This window comes from Homo sapiens, chromosome 9, assembly GCF_000001405.40.
Source record: "Homo sapiens chromosome 9, GRCh38.p14 Primary Assembly".
NCBI lineage: Eukaryota > Metazoa > Chordata > Mammalia > Primates > Hominidae > Homo > Homo sapiens.
The window spans coordinates 36,214,383-36,236,648 of NC_000009.12; the positions used below are offsets into that span (position 1 = coordinate 36,214,383).

Genomic DNA, 22,266 nt, shown 5'->3' on the forward strand with positions numbered 1-22,266 from the left:
TCTGGGAAGGAAAATGCTTTTGGCTAATGAGTTACGAACAAAACAAAATACAACAGGATTTCAACAAGGAAATGTATTTATTTTTTCTTTAGAATTTGGCTCAGAACAGTAACAAAAATATTTACATTAAAATAAATTAACATGCAATTACTTAACCATATGTAATAATTTACGTTGGAATATATTAGCCTTCCCATGAGTTTAATAAAAACTAATATTTGGTTTTAGATTCAATACCATCCTTTCAAATATTTGGTATGAAACTTGGTAGCAATGCAATTGTCTGATGTACAGAGCAGATTTCACCATGAGAGATTACACCAAAGAACAGATGTCCCTTCCCAGAACATTATCTCACCCCAGACTCAGAAACTGAGCAGCCAAGCTTCCTTCCCAGGAATCACCATGGAATGTCTGAACAATAACCAGGCCCTGGAGATTACTGCAGGGCTGGCAGAGTTTTAGGAATCAGCCAAACTCTTTTTCACACTAACCCACTAGGAAGGATATAGTTCAAATGTAATGTTGAGTCCTTCAGTTTATTTGAACACTGAAACAATATGTTGTAGAAACCTTCATTTTCCCAAAATAGAAATCTGAAAGATATATGCACATGATTTCTTAGATCATCTAAAAGTACCCATAAAAACCTGTCACTAGGGCCAGGTGTGATGGCTTACACCTGTAATCCCAGCACTTTGGGAGGCAGAGGCGGGCGGATCACCTGAGGTCAGGAGTTCAAGACCAGCCTGGCCAACATGGTGAAACCCTGTCTACTAAAAATACAAAAAAAAATCAGCCGGGCGTGGTGCATGTGCCTGTAATCCCAGCTACTCAAGAGGCTGAGGCAGGAGAATCACTTGAACTTGGGGGGCAGAGGTTGCATTGAGCCACTGCACTCCAGCCTGGGTGACAGAGTGAGACCCGTCTCAAAAAAATAGAACACCTGTCACTAGACCAAATACTATACTGGTAAAATTTCACAGCAGAGAGGAATATTTCATTAAATTCAGCTGATAGGGTCAAGGATACATTAAGTCATTTACAAATCAGATATTAGTATTAAAGTTTTTGGTGGCCTAGAGTGAATTAGAATATGTTAGCATTTTGAAAGTGTTTTTGAAATGAGAGGTTGTGTGGCTCAGCAGCAAAAGCACAGAGGGACCTGGGATCAAACCCTCTCTCTAGCCCCATAGCTTAACAGTCAAACACACCAAGTTCTATAAAATAAAAATTAAAACACCTACCTCATATGTTGAGATAATTTAGGATAATGTATATGAAGCACCTAGTTCAGAGCCTGGCACACAGTAGGCACTTAATAAGTGGTGGCAGTTAGTATTTCTTCCAAGTTAACAATTCATAGCCAGAACTTTGGCTTTTGTATTTTGACACCAATGAAAACACGAATCATGTAGACAGAATCCTGATTCATGGCTCTGGGCTCTAGGTAAAACTCAAAACTTTAATGGACACCCTAGGGTGTTACTCAACACAGTATGAAAGGCTACTGAAGGAAGAAGTGTCTGCTGGTCAGTAGCAAAGATCCTTTTGGGACAGTTAATCTCCTTTTAAAGGCTCTAAGTCCCAGTGGCTTCTCAGCTGTCCTAAGAAGATAAGGACAAGGTCACTAAGGCCACTGTAATTTAGATCCCTGGTCTAAAGTCTCTTGTAAGTTCAGCTAGAGTAATAACATCTTTCAACAAATGGTATCCAGGATTAGGGGGGATATCTGAGATGGGGGAGTGATAGATATGTCCAGTGTCTTGATTGTGGTGATGCTTTCACAGGTATACATATGTCAAGGCTTATCAAATTGTAGGCTTTAAAAACAATAAAGCTGTTTTAAAAAAAAGTGTACTTAAGCCCTTCCTGGTAAGATTTCCCTCTGTTCTCTGACTGGATCACCTTCTGTGATCTTAGTTTGGGGTTAGAGGAGGAAGGATGTGTGTGTGTGTGTGTGTGTGTGTGTAGACGGAGTCTCGCTCTGTCACCCAGGGTGGAGTGCAGTGGCATGATCTCGGCTCACTGCAACCTCCGCCTCCCGGGTTCAAGCAATTCTCCTGCCTCAGCCTCCCGAGTAGCTGGGACTACAGGCACATGCCACCACGCCCGGCTAATTTTTGTATTTTAGTAGAGATGGGGTTTCACCATGTTGGCCAGGCTGGTCTTGAACTCCTGACCTCAGGTGATCCGCCCATCTCGGCCTCCCAAAATGTTGGGATTACAGGCGTGAGCCACTGCGCCCAGCTGGAAGGATTATTATTATTATTATTATTATTATTATTATTTATTATTATTATTTTTGAGATGGAGTCTTGCTCTGTCACCCAGGCTGGAGTGCAGTGGTGCGGTCTCAGTTCACTGCCAGCTCCGCCTCCCTGGTTCATGCCATTCTCCTGCCTCAGCCTCCCGAGTAGCTGGGACCCGCCACCACACCCAGCTAATTTTTTGTATTTTTAGTAGAGACGGGGTTTCACCATGTTTCACCATGTTAGCCAGGGCGGTCTCGATCTCCTGACCTCGTGATCCGCCCGCCTCGGCCTCCCAAAGTGCTGGGATTACAGGCGTGAGCCACTGTGCCCGGCCTGGAAGGATTATTAATGCAAACTTCAGGATGAAGTGATATCCCAGGCAAGGCCTGAAGGTCTCAGTGGTATTAATACATTAGTAAGCAGAGTTCTAAGAAGGCTTCCTCTCTATTATTGTAGCTGCTTTGGCACAGAAAATTGTGACTGTAACTTACAGGGTTTGAGCTAAAATGACCCCTAGTAAGAAGACATCAGAAAGAATAGCATCTACAAAAATAGGAGTGGGGAAAGGTGACTCTGGAAGAGGAGACCAAAAGTGAAAACATTTCTCTGCCAAAGTCACCTGCAGTTCAATACCAGATTTGATTGTTAAGAAACGGTCATCCTAAAGACAAGAACTTGATTCCACTCAGGAGCTCTGGAGAGAAGGTCCATGTCTGTTCCTGGAGGTCTAGTAGATCCTGCGTGTTGTGTAGTCCAGAACCATGCTGGCAGCACCCAGCAGGGCGGGGTCAACCAAATCCGAAACCACCACATCCACGTCCTGCACGGAGGACAAGGCCTGCTGGCGAATGACGTCTTTGACAATGTGGATATAGTGACTGGCCAGGACTCCGGAGAGGATCACAAGGGAGGGATTCATGGTATGGAGGATGTTCACAACCCCAAGACCCAAAGCTGTTCCAGCTATAGGGAGACAAAAATTAAAATGAGTTTCTGAGAGAAGCCAAAATCAAAATACCAAAGAGGAAGGCAGAAAAGAGCCAGCAGCAGAAATGTTAAAGAACATCCACGGCATGCAGTGGGAGGCAGTGTTTTAAAAGCAGTTCACGGTTGATTCTTAATATGAGAAAATGATCATGTGACAGCCTCAAGTGGAAAAAGCCGGGTGTACCACATGATCTCCACTAGGCAAAAAAATGAATAGAAAGACTCGAAGGAAATGTTAATAGTTGATACCTCCAAATGGGAAAACTAAGTGATATTTTTTCTTACAACTGTCCTATATTTCTCTAAATTTCCTGTAAAATGAAAGGAGCATTTTTATAGTTGTCAAACCAAACCAACCACCTGCTGAAAAAGGCAATGCTGCCAAATACCTTGAATCCAATTCCCTTTTTACCTCTGAGTAATTAGGAAAGAAACCTCTGAACAGACACTGCAAAGCACCTGTCCCTAGGGAAGCAGGGTCTCTTCTGGGGCCGGGCTGGGCCATATGATATCTGAGGCCACCCCCTGCAGCACAGCCACCTGCAGCCACATGCTCACCTGTTCTTAGGATGCTCTGGGCCTTCGCATTGCCAAGTTTCGCAGCTTGGATGAGATGGAGCGCACCCACAGCCTCATCTTTTGGCACTGACATCCCTTCCACCAAGAGCAGGTCCTCTGAACAGAGTGAGAAGGAAAAGCAGTCACTAATGAGCTGTGGGGAGGCCAAGCTCACCACTGGGCCTGTGGAAAGCAAGCCCCTACATGGGAAGACGGTGTTTTCTTTTCACAATTGCAAAGCTTATCGTTCACAAACATCTCTATACACTGCCCCTAAAGCCTTTGCTACCCTCTTGCTAATTGGTTGTACATAACCCAGAACCTATCTTCCTGGAAAAACCTCAAGTCTGACGACAGCCTCCTACCCCTCTGGCTCCCTCACTTCTCACTTCCAGTAGCAGACAGTCTTTGAAGTGTTCTTTTCTCCAAATTATCACCCTCCTCCCACATTCACTCCTTCCTTACTCATCCCAGACACAATGCTGTGCCATCTGCCAGCGCCACGCGTTCTATGGCAGCGAGGCACAGTGGCTGAGGAACAGACACAGGCCTGGGGTCAGTGCCAGCTCTGCCACTCCCAGCTGCATGACCCCATGCCTGTCACCTCACCTGTACACATTCCTCCTTCCTAGAAGATGAGACCAGTAGTGCCTCCCCTGGCAGGGTTATTTGAGGAACGGAATGAGATCATGGACATAAAGTATTTAGTTAAGTGCTGGCCACAGTAAATGCTCAGTAAGCAGCAGGTATTTCTGTGGTTATCTGTAGTCCTTGTCTTCTGCCCGTCACCAACTCAGATCAATCTGCCTCCTACTAATCTGCTAGAATATCTGGACCCTGAAGGAGAAAAATCCCCAGCTGTGCAAACTGCAACCTAGACATCAACTGGTGGTCTCCTGTCTCCCCTGGGCCCTCACAGCTCTCACCCATTCTCTCTGACTGCGCTTTTCTATACCTTCACCACCTTCCCAGTCCTTCTACCCCCACTGCCAACAGACGAGCATACTTCTTACCTCTCTCATAGGGGGCACCACCAGGCAGTGATCCCCTACCTTTTTGCTTCCTGTCCCATACACCCATCATCTCGGCTCGCCATGCCCTCTCGTGGACCCTCTGCCTGGCTTTGCAGCTCATCTCTTCCCACCTCTTCAGAACCCTACTGTAGGGCTCTATACACTTCTCTCCTGCACTCTCGGCCTCCACTCCCCATCTCTTTTCCTTCAGCATATGCTCACAAATTGGTTTTGGGGGCCAAAAATCTACACTGTTTTTATGTATGAAGCACAGATATACTACACATACAGTGCATGTATGTGTGATATATACATAACATGTTTTGTCCATTTATTTCTTCATTAAAATGTGTATTAAGTACCCTCCCTGTGATACTGGCTGAGAAAACAAAACTGAAGGAAATCTTCCCTGCTGTCTTGGAACTCTAGACCTCTGTCCACCACCACCCCTGGGGAGGAAGAGTGGCAATATGGGTCAGCCAAGAAGACTGTGCAGTTTTAGTGCGAGGGAGCCCTGCTCTTTCCCTAAGAAGTGAAAAGGGGGAAACTTCTGGCTTCAGTGTTCAGCTGTCTTTGGAATTTCCACTTTGAAGTACTTGTCTACTATTTGGTTACTTAATTCCTCGAGAGAGGGACACCAACCATCATGGAGCTTTTTTGCCTCCCTCTGCAAGGCCATTCCAGAGGCGTATGCTTCAATGCACCCATGGCTTCCACAGGAACAATCAGGCCCATCCAGAGACACAACAAGGTGGCCCAGTTCTGCAGCACAGAAGGAGCTTCCGTGGATCAATTCATGCTGATGGATAATTCCACCACCGATTCCTACAGCGAGGGATAGAAATCACTGAGGGTGCTTTACCTGAAACAGAAAACTATGATATCACAACGCCTCATCTATTTAGCAGAGCTTTGGCATGTGAGGGTCTATAGATACTTCTTTAGACAGCTGAAGCCCACTAGGCATCAAAGCATTCTCTGGCAGCATTTTGGATGGAAATGTTTTTAGCAGATCCTCTGATGCCCTGTGACCCATCTGCTTGGGTCACTGTGATTTCAAACACAGCTGTGGGGACAGTGCAGCAAAAATGCATGCCCACCTTGTGGGTAGCAGACCCCCTGGCCCAGCACACACTGTCCATCTTTCTGCACCAAGGCTTTCTCTAACACTGAAGCAAGAGCCTACTCAGCCACGCAGGCACAGCACCCAGGGGCAACCTGCAACCGAGGCAAGGCAGGAGCCGGCAGATCCACAGGACAATTCTGGATGCTGTTCTGCAGGCTTCTTAGGAGGTGCTAGTGGAGTTCAGCCCCCTTTGCCCTCAAGTCAACTTCAATAATGTTAATATATCCTTAATGGCTTTCTTCCTGCTCTGTTTCATTCTTCCCACTCACCCTCCTGCTTCTTGTGGTCACCTCCAAAAAACCATACCTGTACCTAAATCCTTGTCTCAGGCTCTGCTCTGAGGAATACCCAAGATAAGTCTTTTAAAATGTATCACACACTACCTGCTTCCTGAAGCAGAAAATATGAAATAATGATTTTGCCTTTTTTGATGCTGCCATGTCTAAAAATCTGTGATTCAATAATTATAAATATCAGTGACTGTCTTTTGTTATGGCGTTTAGCAGTTACAAAGGAGTAAAGGGTATTGTGCCTGAGAAGGCTCTGCTTTTAAGGGTTGTCTTGCCATCTGTCACTTCTTGGGCACTTATTCCTCAACCCCTAGCCCTCTGATTTACAGCTTAGTCACTGCTCTGAGCCAGGAAATGGTATCCAAGTTTGCTAAAACTGTGTCTGGAACTAAAAGAGGATGAGCATGAGCTAAAGTACATGAGCTTAGGCTGGGTGTGGTGGCTCACCCCTGTAATCCCAGCACTTTGGGAGGCTGAGGCGGGCAGATCACCTGAAGCCAGAAGTTCAAGACCAGCCTGACCAACGTGGTGAAACCTTGTCTCTACTAAAAATACAGAAATTAGCCGGGTGTGGTGGCACATTCCTGTAATCTCAGCCATTTGGGAGGCTGAGGCAGGGGAATCACTTGAATCTGGGAGGCAGTGAGCTGAGATTGTGCGACTGCACTCCAGCCTGGGTGACAGAGTGAGACTCACTCTTTAAATAAATAAATAAATAAGTACATGAGCTTAAAGGGATAGTGGTGTAATGTAGAGTTTAAGCACATACAAGTTTTGAAGTTAGACATATCTGTATCAGATGCTGGCTTAACCGCTTATTAGCTAAGTCTGTTTCCTCATTTAAAAATCAAGTTATACACTTAAAATATATACAACAAAAATAAAATAGAGTAAAAAAACAAAAGTAACAAATTGGGATGTCATAAAAAAATGACAGAGCAGGGAACTCCAAAGGTCCATTCTGCCACTAAAGTGAGGAAAAAACTGGTAAAAATGTCAGAATCAACCTTTTTGGAACTCTGGAAACTAACCAAAGTTTGCAACAAACAGAGGAATGCTTAATTTAAAAAAGAAAAACAAAAACCAGGGCCAGGTGCAGTGGGTCATGCCTGTAATCCCAGCACTTTGGGAGACCAAGGCAGGAGGATCCCTCGAGCCCAGCAGTTTAAGACCAGCCTGGGCAACATGGTGAGACCCTGTCTAAAAACAAAACAAAACCAGCTGAATCTTGATAAGAGAACTTTCTGGTGTTGTAACCTACCCTGGTCCCATCACCCACTCTCCAGCTTGGTGGTGACCTTGAACAACAGTCCACACTCCCAGTACTGGTGTACAGAAACAGTACTGGATACCAGTACCTGACGGGGCAGGACGAACTTATTTTCAAAAAATTGTGGTTGTTTGTTTTGACCTGCCTGTCACCTCCCTGGAGGACCACCTCAAAGGGCCTGCTTTCATCTTAACTAACTAGGAACTATCCTAGTGCTGAGGGGGTTACATGAAGGATGTTTATCAAAAACATTTCGGCCGGGCGCGGTGGCTCACGCCTGTAATCCCAGCACTTTGGGAGGCCGAGGCGGGCGGATCACGAGGTCAGGAGATCGAGACCATCCCGGCTAAAACGGTGAAACCCCGTCTCTACTAAAAAATACAAAAAATTAGCCGGGCGTAGTGGCGGGCGCCTGTAGTCCCAGCTACTTGGGAGGCTGAGGCAGGAGAATGGCGTGAACCCAGGAGGCGGAGCTTGCAGTGAGCCGAGATCCCGCCACTGCACTCCAGCCTGGGCGACAGAGCGAGACTCCGTCTCAAAAAAAAAAAAAAAAACATTTCAAGGTAAAATGTATTAGTCTGTGCTGTCTAGGGCAAAGGATAACAGCTGGGGCATCCAACACACTAACCAAAAAGACTGGGAGGAAAAGCTGGGAAATGAGAAGCTCTGGGAAATAAGAGCTTTGAATAGCTCTGACAAGTTCCTGGAATTTAGAAGGCCACAGGCATGTCTAAGGCTGGGCACATGCTCAGAAAAGGCCACATGTGGCTCACCTTCAGGCTCTAGTCATGCAGGAAGTGAAGGCTAAGGCAGAGTTGTAACCACCTGACCATGTTGAAGACATGCTCCAATATACATTCTAGCTCCTGAACCAACCTCCCCCTACCCCTCTTACCTGTGCCTGTGATAAGTGTAACAAAGTTTTCCAGTCCCTTTCCTTGGCCAAATTTCCTTTCCGCCAGGGCAGCACAGTTGCCATCATTGTCTACCCACACAGGGAGATGCAAAGTGTCAGAAAGGGGGGTCCTAAGGTCCACAGAGTTCCACTCTTGGATCAGTTTGGTTGAATGCAGCACAATTCCTTCCCGAGGATTTACACGGCCACCTGTGGAAATGCCTGCGCTCCACCACAAACACAAGGAAATAATGCTGATGAGCAATCTCAGGAAAGTATGCTGACTTTCTTGTCTTAAGAACACAGATTCATTCACCCCAGATCTCCTAAGACAAACGTTACCAAGGACTGCAAGGAAATATTAGACAGTTGTGAATTAAAGCCATAGCACCTTAAAGATTTCTAGAACTGTCAGTGCTTCTCTCCTAATGCTTGTTGGTGTCCCAGGAAGTCCCCATGCTTGGGGCCCACAGACAGCACCTAGAGCCATCTATGCACAGGGCAGACACTGACTTGATGCTCAGGCATGCATCACAAGTTAGTAAATTTTGTACATTAAAATGAGCATTTCTTGGATTTATAATTTACAATCTTACCTACTCCCAAAATTCTGCAGTTCAGTTTTACAGCTTCTGCTGCAGCTTCCACACACATCTGTAGGATTAAATTAATCCTCTCTTCATAGGTTTTAGGATTGAACTGAGTATACTTCTTAACTATTTCACCCTAAAAGAGAAAACAACAAGTTCCGTCTTACTGGTCTTAGCTAAGCAGCATATTGTGAGTGTTGTGATCTTTTTCATGACAAATTAGACACTGCTATAGGATGGCCCCGCAGTCTTAGATGACTGCTTGGGGAAGGACCCACTGCCTGGTCTGGGCCAGCCCTGGGGTAAGCTCAAGTAGTTCCTGTAATCTGTCCTAATATGGGGCTGTTGAAGCAATGACAACTCCACAGGCAGCAAGATGGGCCCCTCTCTTTTTTTTTTTTTTGAGATGGCCTCTCGCTCTGTTGCCCAGGCTGGAGCGCTATGGCGCGATCTCAGCTCACTGCAACCTCCACCTCCCAGGTTCAGGCGATTCTCCTTCCTCAGCTTCCCAGGTAGCTGGGATTACAGGTGCCTGCCACCACGCCCGGCTAATTTTTGTATTTTTAGTAGAGATGGGGTTTCACCATGCTGCCCAGGCTGGTCTCAAACTCCTGACCTCAAGCAATCCGCCTGCCTCGGCCTCCCAAAGTGCTGGGATTACAGGCGTGAGCCACTGCCCCCGGCCGGGCCCCTTTCTTAAGCTTAAGTTCAATGTTCGCTAATTTGAGCCTAGTTCATTAAAAGACCATAGTTTACTCTTTCAGGTTGACAAAACTTTCTTGCTTACTGAGGTGACCGGGCATAGTGGCTCACGCCTGTAATCCCGGCACTTTGGGAGGCCAAGGCGGGAGAATCGCTTGGGCCCAGGAGTTTAAAACCAGCCTGGGAGGTACAGTGAGACCTCCTCTCTACAAAAAATTAGCCAGGCATGTTGGCACATGCCTGTAGTCCCAACTACTTGGGAGGCTAAGCTGGGAGGATTTCTTGAGCCTGGGAAGTTCAGGCTGCGGTGAGCTGAGATCACGCCACTGCACTCCAGCCTGGGCAACAGAGTGAGACCCTTTCTCAAAAACAAAAACAAAAAAACACTGAGGCAACTAAGTAGCTGAGCTTTAATCATCTCCTGTAACTGAATTCAGTGATGGTCTGGATACTCTATTTCCTTAGGGTAAATTTCCATCCTGGCTGGCAGAAATACCACATTGTTTAAATTATTATATGGCCGGCCGTGGTGGCTCACGCCTGTAATCCCAGCACTTTGAGAGGCCGAGGCAGGTAGATCACTTTGACCTCAGGAGTTCAAGACCAGCCTGCGCAATAAGAGGAAATCCCATCTCTATAAAAAATACAAAAATTAGCTGGGCGTGGTGGCACACGCCTGTAGTCTCAGCTACTTGAGAGGCTGAGGCTGGAGAATCGCTTGAACCCAGGAAGCAGAGGTTGCAGTAAGCCGAGATCATACCACTGCACTCCAGTCTGGGCGACAGAGTGAAACCCTGTCTCAAAAAAATAAAACACATTACTGTGCTTTTTGATATGTTTTAATACCAAACAGGGATAGTCCCTCCTGATTACTTGTCTTTATCTTTTTTCTTTGCACAACTGACTTTTGTACTTTTAATGTTAAACTTTGAGAAATTCCACTGTGATTTACAATAATTTTACTAAATGTAAAACAAATACCATTGAAATATTTACTAGATTATGTTGATCTTATAAATCAAATTGGGAAAACACTGACATCTTAAAAATAATCAGCACTTCCATCCAGGGCATTTTTTTCAAGACTTTATGTCTTACAGTAAAGTTTTAGAATTTTCTTTATATAGATTACATCGTTCCTGGTTTCAGTTATTCTTAGGAGTTTTTGTTGTTGTTCTGAATAAGATCTCTCTTTCCATTTATATTATTTTGTTATTAGTGGATTTTTATATCTCAAATATAGGGTTAGAGCTGTCACTAGGATTGTCATTAAAAATAAATCTAGGTCAGGCACGGTCGCTCACACCTGTAATCCCAGCACTTTGGGAGGTCGAGGCTGGCAGATCCCTTGAGCCCAGGAGTTCAAGACCAGCCTGGGCAACATGGTGAACCACTGTCTCTACAAAAAATACAAAAATTAGCCAGGCATGCTGGCATAAGCCTGTAGTCCCATCTACTCAGGAGGCTGAAGCACAAAAATCACTTGAGCCCGGGAGGCAGAGGTTGCAGTGAGCCGAGATCACGCCACTGCACTCCAGCCTGGGCGACAGAGCAAGACTCAGTCTCAAAAAACAAAAATACATCTAGAGCTGGGCACAGTGGCATGTGCCTGTGGTCCTAGCTATTATACTTGGGAGGCTGAGGCAGAGGACCATTTAAGCCCAGGACCTTGAGTCCAGTCTGGGAAACATAGGAAGACCTTGTCTCTAAAAAAAAATTTTTTTAAATTAAGAGAATAAAAAATCTAGAGTAGTGCTTCTCAATCTTCGCTGTGCATCAGAATCACCTGGACAGCTTTTAACGAAGAGCGATGCCTGGCCCCCATCCCCAGAGACTCTAATTTAACCAGTCCAGGGTGGGAGCCAAGCATTTTTTTGTCTATTAATAATGTTTTTTGTTTTACCCTATCAATAATCTCCATTTTTGCTATTCCTTCCTTTATTCCCTCATAACTTCCAAAATTATGTGAGATAATGCTGCACAAAACATCTTTCTTTTCTTCTTGATTTCAATGGGAATGCCTCTAGAATTTCACCATTGAAAAAGATGTTGGCCTTTCATATGGAATAAATCATCTTTCTGTTAAGAAACTATTCTTCTATTAGTTTTTGTTTTGTTTTTTGAGATGGAGTCTCACTCTGTTGCCCAGGCTGGAGTGCAGTGGTGCGATCTTGGCTCACTGTAATCTCCACCTCCTGGGTTCAAGCGATTCTCCTGCCTCAGCCTCCCAAGTAGCTGGGATTACAGGTGCCTGCCACCATGCCCAGCTAATTTTTTTTTTTTTTTTGTATTTTTAGTAGAAACAGGGTTTCACCATGTTGTCCAAGCTGGTCTGAAACTCCTGACCTTAAGTGATCTGCCCACCTGGACTTCCCAAAGTGCTGGGATTACAGGCGTAAGCCACTGCATCCAGCCTTCTATTAGTTTTTAAAAGAGTATTTATAAGGGAGGCCTCTTGGCTTTTCTTGAGAAAATTATGTTTTGTTTTGCTTTCCTTATTTGACCTAATGGTATTAATAAATTTCCTACAACTTTACATTTAAAATCTTTGCTATTTCTCATCGTCTCTGGAAGCTTTATACACTCACACTATTTCAAACCAAGATTTTTCTAGTAGGTTTATTCTAAGTCATTAGAGATCACTTTAACATGAACAGTTTGTTATTTTTATGAATGTTCTCTCACCTGTCAACACTGGGTGATGGTTTGGTTAACAGATTGAAGGTATGCTGTACTCAATAAAGAGCAGAACTGTAAAAATGCAAAATGGAAAATCCACACAACTGATCACATTCTAGAGAAGAGGCAGCTCCCTTCACCATTTGCTGATACCCCTCACCTGGGCAGTGATAGTAATCAGCATACTCCACACTCCAAGCTGTTACCAAGTATAGAATTTCAGGTCTTTTGGGTGGCAAAAGCCCGATCTGATGCCTAAAGGGGTCTTCCCACTGTCAAGTCTACCGTCTTGGATTCCCAAAGAATTTACTTCTTTGAAATGTTAATGATCAGTAAAATAGTGAGACAAACATTGTAAAGGATCCACAAGTCAATACTATCAGCAAATGATTACAAGCTCTTGTGTATGTTTCTAGTCTTACCTTCCAACTATATATACTTAAAAAAAAAATCAATCGCTCATATGGGATATAAAGTTAGGAGTTTAGGAGTTATTTTACCTTCATGCTGACTATTGCAACTCGGAGGTTCGTCCCGCCAAGATCAACGGCCAAGGCACTTAGAGTTTCAAGAATATGGTCAATATCTTGAGAGATATTCTCCTTCACAGGAGGAAAGCAGAATTTCTTTTGCAGTGGCTCTTGAAGATCGATAGATTTGAGAAACTTCAAAATCCTTGGAACAGCATTTCCATCCCCATATATCTTTGAACTGCAATATACAAAAAGTCAATTAAATTATATGCTTCTGCCATACATGTTAAGTGGTAGTGAGGGTATAATGTAATGGAAACTGAGACTTCAGGTAAAAATAATTCATGCTTCTTCCTAAAGTGACATCTTCCTGCCGTGCACAGTGGCTCACACCTGTAATCCCAGCACTTTGGGGGGCTGAGGCAGGAAGATTGCTTGAGCCCAAGAGTTTGAGACCAGCCTGGGCAACACAGACATAGCAACTCTATCTCTACAAAAAGTAATTTTAAAAATCATGTTTAAAGAAATAAATAGGCTGGGTGCAGTGGCTCATACCTGTAATCCTAGCACTTTGGGAGGTCGAGGCTGGCGGATCACCTGAAGTCAGGAGTTCAAGATCAGCCTGGCCAACACGGTGAAACCCCATCTCTACTAAAAACACAAAAATTAGCCAGGCGTTGTGGGTGCCTGTAATCCCAGCTACTCAGGAGGTTGAGGCAGGAGAACTGCTTGAACCCGGGAAGCGGAGGTTGCAGTGAGTCGAGATCGCACCACTGCACTCCAGCCTGGATGACAGAGCAAGACTCCGTCTCAAAAAAAAAAAAAAAAAAACAACCAACAATAACAAAAAAGAAATAAAATAACATCTCCACAAGATATACATACTTCAGAACATCATGTTGTACACAATAAATACATACAATTTTATCTGTCAATTAAAAGTTAAAAACTATAAATCATAATTATACAGAACTAAAAAAATTTTATATAAAATAATATCTAGATCTCTTCAGCAACATTGTAACTAAGTGCCTGTATTTTTTTGCTTTTTTTAGTTTTTATCTTTATATTTCTGAGAAAACAAAATTATTTTCAGAAAGAAATATTCAAATACAGGGAAATCTCATCGATTTGAAACAGAAAGGAGGGTGGTCAAAATTAATTAAAAAGCTGAACTAGACTTTTTAAAAAAAATCAGTTACATTATTTTCTAATATTTATAGAAAGCCAAAGAAGGTTAAATAAGTGTAGCAAAAGTGTTGTATTAATTAAGAGAAACAAATAAAATAAGGCTGGGCGCAGTGACTCACACCTGTAATCCCAGCGCTTTGGGAGGCTGAGGCAGGCGGATCACCTGAGGTCAGGAGTTTTGAGACCAGCTTGCCCAACATGGTGAAACCCCATCTCTACTAAAAATACAAAAATTAGCCAGGCGTGGTGGTGCGCACCTGTAATCCCAGCTACTTGGGAGGCTGAGACAGGAGAATTGCTTGAACCCAGGAGGCGGAGGTTGCAGTGAGCTGAGATGGCGCCACTGCACTCTATCCTGGGCAACAGATCAAGAGTCCATCTCAAAAAAAAAAAAAAAAAAAAGAAATAAAATATGTATTCTACATTGGAACCTTTGGAACAGTAATAATGGGTATGATATTAGCAATCCCTGTCTCCCCAGCAACTAGGGGCCCGTAGGCATAAGAAGGAAAGCTCTGTTAGGATGATTAAACAGTGATTGTAGCTTTAAAATGGTACTGAAGGTAGCTCCCCTTTTAAATCACTCAACAAAGAATGTTTTATACTCACCAAGGGTACTGTTTACCAAACTGAAGGTGCAGTGCTTGCAATATTTTGTCTTGGGTGTCAGCATCCCGGACATGAAGAACATTCTCCCCTAGGTAAAACCAGTGACACATTACAAGGATTTGGAAGTGGGAATATCCAAAGAATAAAGAAATTATCAGTGTACTATGCTCATAATTAGACCTGAAATCCAGCTGACTTCAGGTTAAGTCTTTTGTTAGGGAAAATTCAACTTTTCTACTTTATACCTTTTAAAGTACTCTTGGCAAGATTTCAGTACATCAAACACTTAAGGGCCCTAGGGTCCTTTATTCCCAAGGAGAACAAATCAAGTTTTTGTTTATTAAAATAAATAAGGTAGACCAACCTGGCATCCACTTACCATTTGCCTAGTCATCTATGAGATTCACTCTCTTTCAACCTGCCCTGCCTTCCATCTACTCAGCCAGTGGTTCACTTGGCTGGTCAGGCAGTCACTTTCCCTCCAGACATTTCCTGACCAATATGAGGGAGTAAATCTAGCGAAAATGGCCACACTGTTCAATGGGTTTGGCTAAGAAGAGAAGAGTGGACGAGTAACATCTGGAGAGAGGTGTGGGGTCAAGAAAGGAGTTGTTTTGTGTTGTTTGTTTTTAAGATGTGAGAGGCTTAGGCATGTTTAAATGATGAGGAGGTTAAATAAAGAAGGATGAGAAAAGATCACTCATGGATAGGTCCCTGAGAAGGCAGGAGTGGTTGGGATTGAAAACACAGGTAGAAGGATGGGCAGTAGACAGGCAGGAGAGACACCCACACCCACACCCATGCCCACACCCTGCTATAAAAAAGGTAAGAAGGAAAGGATGGATGGGCATGCACATTTATATACGTTTATTTAAGTGTAGTGGCAAAAAGTACAGAGACCATGTTGGCATATGGTTCAATTCTCCTTTCACTTTTTTTTTTTTGAGACAAAGTCTTGCTCTGTTGCCCAGGCTGAAGTGCAGTGGCACAATCTCAGCTCACTGCAACCTCTACCTCCCAGGTTCAAACGATTCTCCTGCCTCAGCCTCCTGAGTAGCTGGGATTGCAGGCGTGTACCACCACGCTTGGCTAATTTTTGTATTTTTAGAGATGGCGTTTCACCATGTTAGCCAGGCTGGCTTGAACTCCTGACCTCAAGTGATCCACCTGCCTTGGCCTCCCAAAGTGCTAGGATTACAGGCGTGAGCCACTGTGCATGGCTGTCCTTTCACATCTTAAATGAACTCAGCAGTATCCACCACCCCATCCTTAAAACATTTTATTTTGGGGGCTTTATAGATAGCACACTCTCCTTGTTTCCCTCCAACCTCACTGGTGTTCCTCTTCAGTCTTCCTTGCTGGCCCTTCCCTCTTCACCAGAACTCTAAAGATTGAAGGGCTCCAGAGGTTGGTCCTGGGCTCCATTCTCTGCCCTATTTACAAGTCTTTTTTTTTTTGAGACGGAGTCTTGCTCTGTCACCCTGGCTGGAGTGTAGTGGCACGATCATAGCTCACTGTAACAAACTCCTGGGCTCAAGTGATCCTCCCGCCTCAGCCTCCTGAGTAACTAGGACCACAGGCGCATGCTACCAGGTCCACCTAATTTTAAAATTTTTTTGTAGAGAGAAAATATCACTATCTTTTTTTTTTTTTTTTTGAGACGGAGTCTCGCTCTGTTGCCCAGGCTGGAGTGCAGTGGCGCGATCTTGGCTCACTGCAAGTTCCGCCTCCTGGGTTCACGCTAAAATTTTTTTGCAGAGATAAAATATCACTATCTTGACCCAAGCTAGGGTCGAACTCCCAGCCTCAAGCAATCATCCCACCTTGGCCTCCCAAAGCACTGGGATTATAGGTGTTGAGCCACCACACCTGGCCTGGGTTTTAAATACTATCTATGGCTGGTGCCATTATCTTCAATATCTTTTCTTCATACTAGAAACAGAATTTTTAGCCAGGCATCTGATCCCCAGCCAAAGATTATATTCTGGCTGGTGTTTACAACTAATTGATCACAACCAGTTCCTCCTCCCCCAGCACTGCTTCACTAAAAAAAAAAAAAAAAAAGAAAGAAAGAGAGAGAGAGAAAGAGAAAGAAAGAAAGACAATGAAAGAAGGAAGGAAGGAAGGAAAAGAAAGAAGGAAAGAAAACAAACAAAACACAGACTGGGCACAATGGCTCACATCCATAATTCCAGGACTTTGTGAGGCCAAGGTAGGAAGGATCACTTGAGACCAGGAGTTTAAGACAAGCCTGGACAACAAAGCAAGACCCTGTCTCTACAAAACATTTTGTAAAAACATTAGCCAGGCATGGCTGAGGAGGCTAAAGTGAGAGGATAACTTGAGCCCAGGAATTCAAGGTTACGATGAGCTATGAATACACCACTGCACTCCAGCCTGAGCAACAGAACAGTATCATTTCAGACAAAAACAAAACAAACAAACAAACAAAAAAGACTATATTCTTCAGCTTGCCTTGCAGCCAGATGTGGCCATGTGACTAAGTTCTGATGGATGTGAGAAGAAAGATTTGCAACTTTCAGGTCTTGCCTTTAAAGTGAAAGGCATCTTCTCTTTTCCTTCTTCCAAAGGCTAAAACAGAGACTTGCAAGCAATAGCTAGAGCAACCACTAAGAAAATAGATGGGGGCTAAGTCTGATGATTGTGGAGCTGCCATCCACTGAGAAAGAAAGAACATTTAACTTATTTCAGCCACTATTATTTAGGGTCTCTGTTATAGCAGCCAAACTGACAACCAATTATGCATCATCTCTATACCAATGACTCTCAAATTTCTATCTCCAACTCTAACTCTTCCTGGAACTATCTAGCTGTTTACTAGCCATGTCTGCTTTGATATCTAATAGGCATCTCAAACTTCACATAGCTATAAGAGAACTCTTAATTCAATCCCTCCCCAAATCTGTTCCTCCCTCAGTGTCCCCATATCGCTGCCCAATCAGAAATCTAGGCTGTAATGGAAAAGTGTGTATCATTAAAGGAAAAAGAACTGGACTAGAACCAAGGAGATTAGTTCTAGCTCTGCTCTTTCTCCAATTCTTCATAATTGCCACCTTTCTGTTATATTTACATCTTCTTCCCTTCTCATTCCCAGCATATCACTGCCCAATCAGAAATCTAGGCTTCCTTGTTGATTCCTTTCACCTCCGCATCCAAGCATCAGCAAGTACTATAACAAGACCCAAATCTAACTTTTTTCCATCTCTAATACTTCATCAAAGCCACTATCATCTCTCATCTGAGCAACTGAATCAGCCCCCTTACTGGTCTCCCTGCTTTTATTCTTGCCCCCCCGCCCCCCCTCCCGACATTCCATTCTGTATATTAGCAACCGGAGTGATCTTTCCAAAATGCAACTCTTGTCATGTCATTCCTTCCCATTACACTTAGAAAAAATTCCAAATGACTTACCCTGGCTTACATGCATCTGTTTCCTTCTCTAACATCACCTGTATCACTCTGCCTCTTGCTCACTACTCTACAGCCACAATAGCGCTTCCATTTCTCAAATACACCAAGTTCACCTCCCGGCCCTCACACTGGCTGTTGCCACTGCCTCTCCCTGATCCTCACATAGCTGACTCCTTGTCATTCAGATTTCAGCTTAGGTGTCATCTCCTTAAAGAGGCCTTCCTTTAACCAATCTAATGGAGTCCATCATATACCTTGTGTTACAGCAGGCACAGCATATAGAATTCCTGATATTTTTCTTATTTCTTTTGTGTATGTCTATCATCTATCTCCTCTCCCACTAGAATGTAAGTTACACGAGAGCCCAGCTCTTCTTGGTCTAGTTTATTGCCAAATCCCAGTGCCTAGTACATGGTAGGTGTTTACTAAATATTTTCTAAATAAATGAATTGAGGAATTTGAAAGAATTTCCATCTCATGGCTTCCATTTTCTCTATGAAGTGGGGAGTAAAGTAATATGCTGGGAATGAGAAGGGAAGAAGATCTAAATATAACAGAAAGGTGGCAATTATGAAGAACTGGAGAAAGAGCAGAGCTAGAACTCATCTCCTTGGTTCTAGTCCAGTTCTTTTTCCTTTAATGATACACACTTTTCCATTACAGCTTCCATTAAATTCCACTGCATGTAAACAGGATTAGAACTTGAACTAATGTTAATAACAGGACCTAGCTCAGTTAGCAAATTCATTAATAATAATCCTACTTATACTTAAGGGGCACTTTACTTAGAACTACCATACTCTAAAGTACTGACTGAAGGGATTCTACATTAGGCCCAGAAAATAAAAGACTAGCATTCATATATTCATGAAACATTCAACCACATTCTCTCTTAAACACAGCCATGAAAGACCATAATTAAAAACCACTTAGGCTGGGCGCGGTGGCTCACGCCTGTAATCCCAGCACTTTGGGAGGCCGAGGTGGGCGGATCACGAGGTCAGGAGATTGAGACCATCCTGGCTAACAAAGTGAAACCCCGTCTCTACTAAAAAATACAAAAAATTAGCCGGGCTTGGTGGCTGACGCCTGTAGTCCCAGCTACTTGGGAGCCTGAGGCAGGAGAATGGCGTGAACCTGGGAGGCGGAGCTTGCAGTGAGCCGAGATCACGCTACTGCACCCCAGCCTGGGCGACAGAGCGAGACTCCATCTCAAAAAAAAAAAAAGAAAGAACCACTTAGTGCTAATTGATATTACAAAGACAATAAAATGTAAGTAGAGATCTAAAATATTTGGTAATCACTGTGTGCTATTTATCGACTATAGATTTTAGGCTTCAACTGGTTATTAACCTCATTCACTCACTTGTTCACAAAATATATGCTCAGTACTGATATATGCATACCTTATAACAACTCACGTATGTATAAAGCCTAGTCAGTTGAAGTATGAGCAAAGGTAAATACCTGTTTCTCTTCCAATCTGACGTGTTCCCAGGTTGATCACAGGTGTTCCAAAAGCTCCAACTTCTCGAACCCCACAGCTGCTGTTCCCAATCATACAGCCAGCATGGGCAACCAACTGTATAAACTGGTCAAATGGGACGTGTTTAACTGCACGAAAGTTGGGATGATGCTCAATGCCCTTCTTCCGCATCACTCGAACCATCTCTTTGCTCCCTATGAAAATGAAAAGAACCAATTGGTAAATGGTTTGTGAGATAAAGAAACCATTTTCATTGGCAAGTATAGCCCACGTAAAGAAATCTCCCTAAAAAAACCTCACATCAGTTATTAGGGAAATAGTAATTTTAACTACTGGCTTTTTCATGAATGATGGATATCTAAAATGTCCTCTGCTTCACTCATCTAGGAACTCAAAAAGCAGCAGTTGGGACTTTTCAAACAGAACTAGGCAAAGCAAATAACTTTTATCAATGCCCTAGTAAAAGCCTTTACCTTAAACAACAATTAAGAGGCTAAAGACAGGCCAACAGCCTGTATCTCTTAACCTGAGAGTTCCCAAATGGAACCCTCTCAGGCTCCACACACCAAGCTGATGAGAGAGCCTCTGCCCAGCTACACTCACCTTTACACTAACAAGAACTCGGTGGGATAGCACTCCCATTTATATGAACTAAACTCCAAGAAAATACACATAGATTCTGATAACTGTGGCTTCTATTTTAACTGCATGACTTAATAAAAATTTAAAGATACATGAAGGGGAGGCAATATTTAATGTCCCTCTGCTTGCCTCTCAACTGACCCCCTCCTAACTACCCCATACCTAGGGAGGAAAATTGCTAACCTGACTGGTTAGAAGGCAGAGGTCTGACCACACCATGCTTACCACTGGGCAGGTGCCACTCATTTAACCAAAGCTGTGCATGCATGGTTCTCAATTTTTTTAACTTTTATTGTGTTGCAAGGTAGGTAAATGGACTCAGGGTCTAATTCCCTGGAGAAGGCCTGGCCACTTCTCTCTATATACAGTCTTGCCAGAGCATCATCTGTAATTATTGTACAGGTTGAGCATCCCTTATTCGACATGGTTGGGACCAGAAATATTTTGGGTTTCAAGTTTTTTTGGATTTTGAAATATTTGTTATTCTGTAATACTTACCAGATCAGCATCCCCAATCTGAACATCCAAAATCCAACTGCTCCAATAAACGCTTCCTTTGAGCGTCATATTGGTGCTCAAAAAGTTTGAGATTTTGGAGCATTTCAGATTCCAGATTTTTTGATTAGGGATACTCAAACTGTAGTACATGGCACACCAGAAGGCACCACTACTATTCCAAGATTCAGGTTTCGATTCAGTTGAAAGCCCCTCTTTGGCTTAAGGCTTCGATAATCCATTTTCCGGAGGGAGTCCTGTACTGGGGAACAGGGCACTAAGCCAGATAATGATAAAGTGATGCCTTGATTCTTATTTTCCTATTGTTCCCTGTGTATAGCTTATCAAAAACCCTGTGGAGGGTAGAGGCAAGTGGCAGCCATGACTTAGATATACCTGGGACCCTTTACTTTCATAGAAAAAAAATACCTCTAATTCTAAAGTATATACAGCCAGGAAAGTGTATTATAAACAGAATATATCATTGACAATGAATGCTGAACGAGAATGATACATAGTTACATTACACATATTTATAAAAAATTTAAAGGTCAGAAAAGAATAAATATTAACATTTTTGAAATATTGATACATTACCTGGAAAAAATCTGGGTTGGGTATTCTTAAATTTTTTTCCAACTAATATCCTACTTTGTTCTCCCTAACAGAAAAGATTCTTCAAGGGAATACTAAGACAGGGGTTCTTTCAGAGTAAGTTGGTGATATCTTGACATTGCAGAGAATGGGTTCTGCCTCCTTTACCAAAAAAAAGCCTAAGAACTCAACAATGAGTGGTGTCAGCTAAAGATAACCAGTGTTTGGAAATTCTTCAGTGTTAGGCTATGTTCTGACATTTCTCATTAATATCTCACACCCCCATTAACTCGCCTAAGGTCTCAGCAGTACCAAAATCTATAGTACCATCCACTGGTAAGCAAGTGATCAGCCAGGGCAGGCTTGAGGATGAACCGGTTGGGACTGGCTGGGGACTCCAGATTTAAACTGCTTCAGCTCAAGATTACTTTAAGGTATAGCTAACATAAATATGAAAGAAAGCAAGAAAAAATATTAGTGGCTATTTTACTGTGGATAGTGGAATCACTACTTTTCTAGAGATTCTTTCACTTCAACTTTTTTTTTTTTGAGATGGAGTCTCACTCTGTCACTGAGACTAGTGTGCAGTGGCATGATCTCGGCTCACTGCAACCTCCACCTTCCAGGTTCAAGTGATTCTCCTGCCTCAGCCTCCTGAATAGCTGGGACTACAGGTGCCCACCACTGTGGCTGGCTAATTATTGTATTTTAGCAGAGACAGGGTTTCACCATCTTGGCCAGGCTGGTCTCGAACTCCTGACCTCAAGTGTTCTGCCTGCCTCGGCCTCCCAAAGTGCTGGGATTACAGGCATGAGCCACCGTGCCCGACCATCTTTCACTTCAACTTCTAAGATTTATGTCTCTTGGCTTCTGCAGTTTCTTAACTGGTGGAAACTGGAGGGAAAATATTAGTACTAAACATGAGACTAAAGTAGACAGTAGACAGACTTTTTATTATTAAGTTTCTACTGGACTTGGC

General features: G+C 43.3%; 1 protein-coding gene across 9 annotated transcripts in view; it reads right to left on the minus strand.

Annotated features, from left to right (window-relative positions):
• The window catches only part of GNE (glucosamine (UDP-N-acetyl)-2-epimerase/N-acetylmannosamine kinase), a 62,538-nt gene continuing 40,330 nt past the window's right edge, over positions 59-22,266 (minus strand). For 8 of the 9 annotated variants that reach the window (NM_001190388.2, XM_005251334.5, NM_001128227.3 and 5 more), the window contains 8 exons: positions 19,538-19,750; positions 14,639-14,726; positions 12,866-13,076; positions 8,991-9,120; positions 8,395-8,616; positions 5,456-5,638; positions 3,801-3,917; positions 59-3,218 (listed from right to left, as the gene is read on the minus strand). In NM_001190388.2, coding sequence (NP_001177317.2) covers positions 2,983-3,218; positions 3,801-3,917; positions 5,456-5,638; positions 8,395-8,616; positions 8,991-9,120; positions 12,866-13,076; positions 14,639-14,726; positions 19,538-19,750 — 1,400 coding nt within the window. In that variant the 3' untranslated portion in view covers positions 59-2,982. The remainder of the gene's footprint in view (positions 3,219-3,800; positions 3,918-5,455; positions 5,639-8,394; positions 8,617-8,990; positions 9,121-12,865; positions 13,077-14,638; positions 14,727-19,537; positions 19,751-22,266) is intronic. The other variant, NM_001190383.3, reaches the window with a different exon arrangement.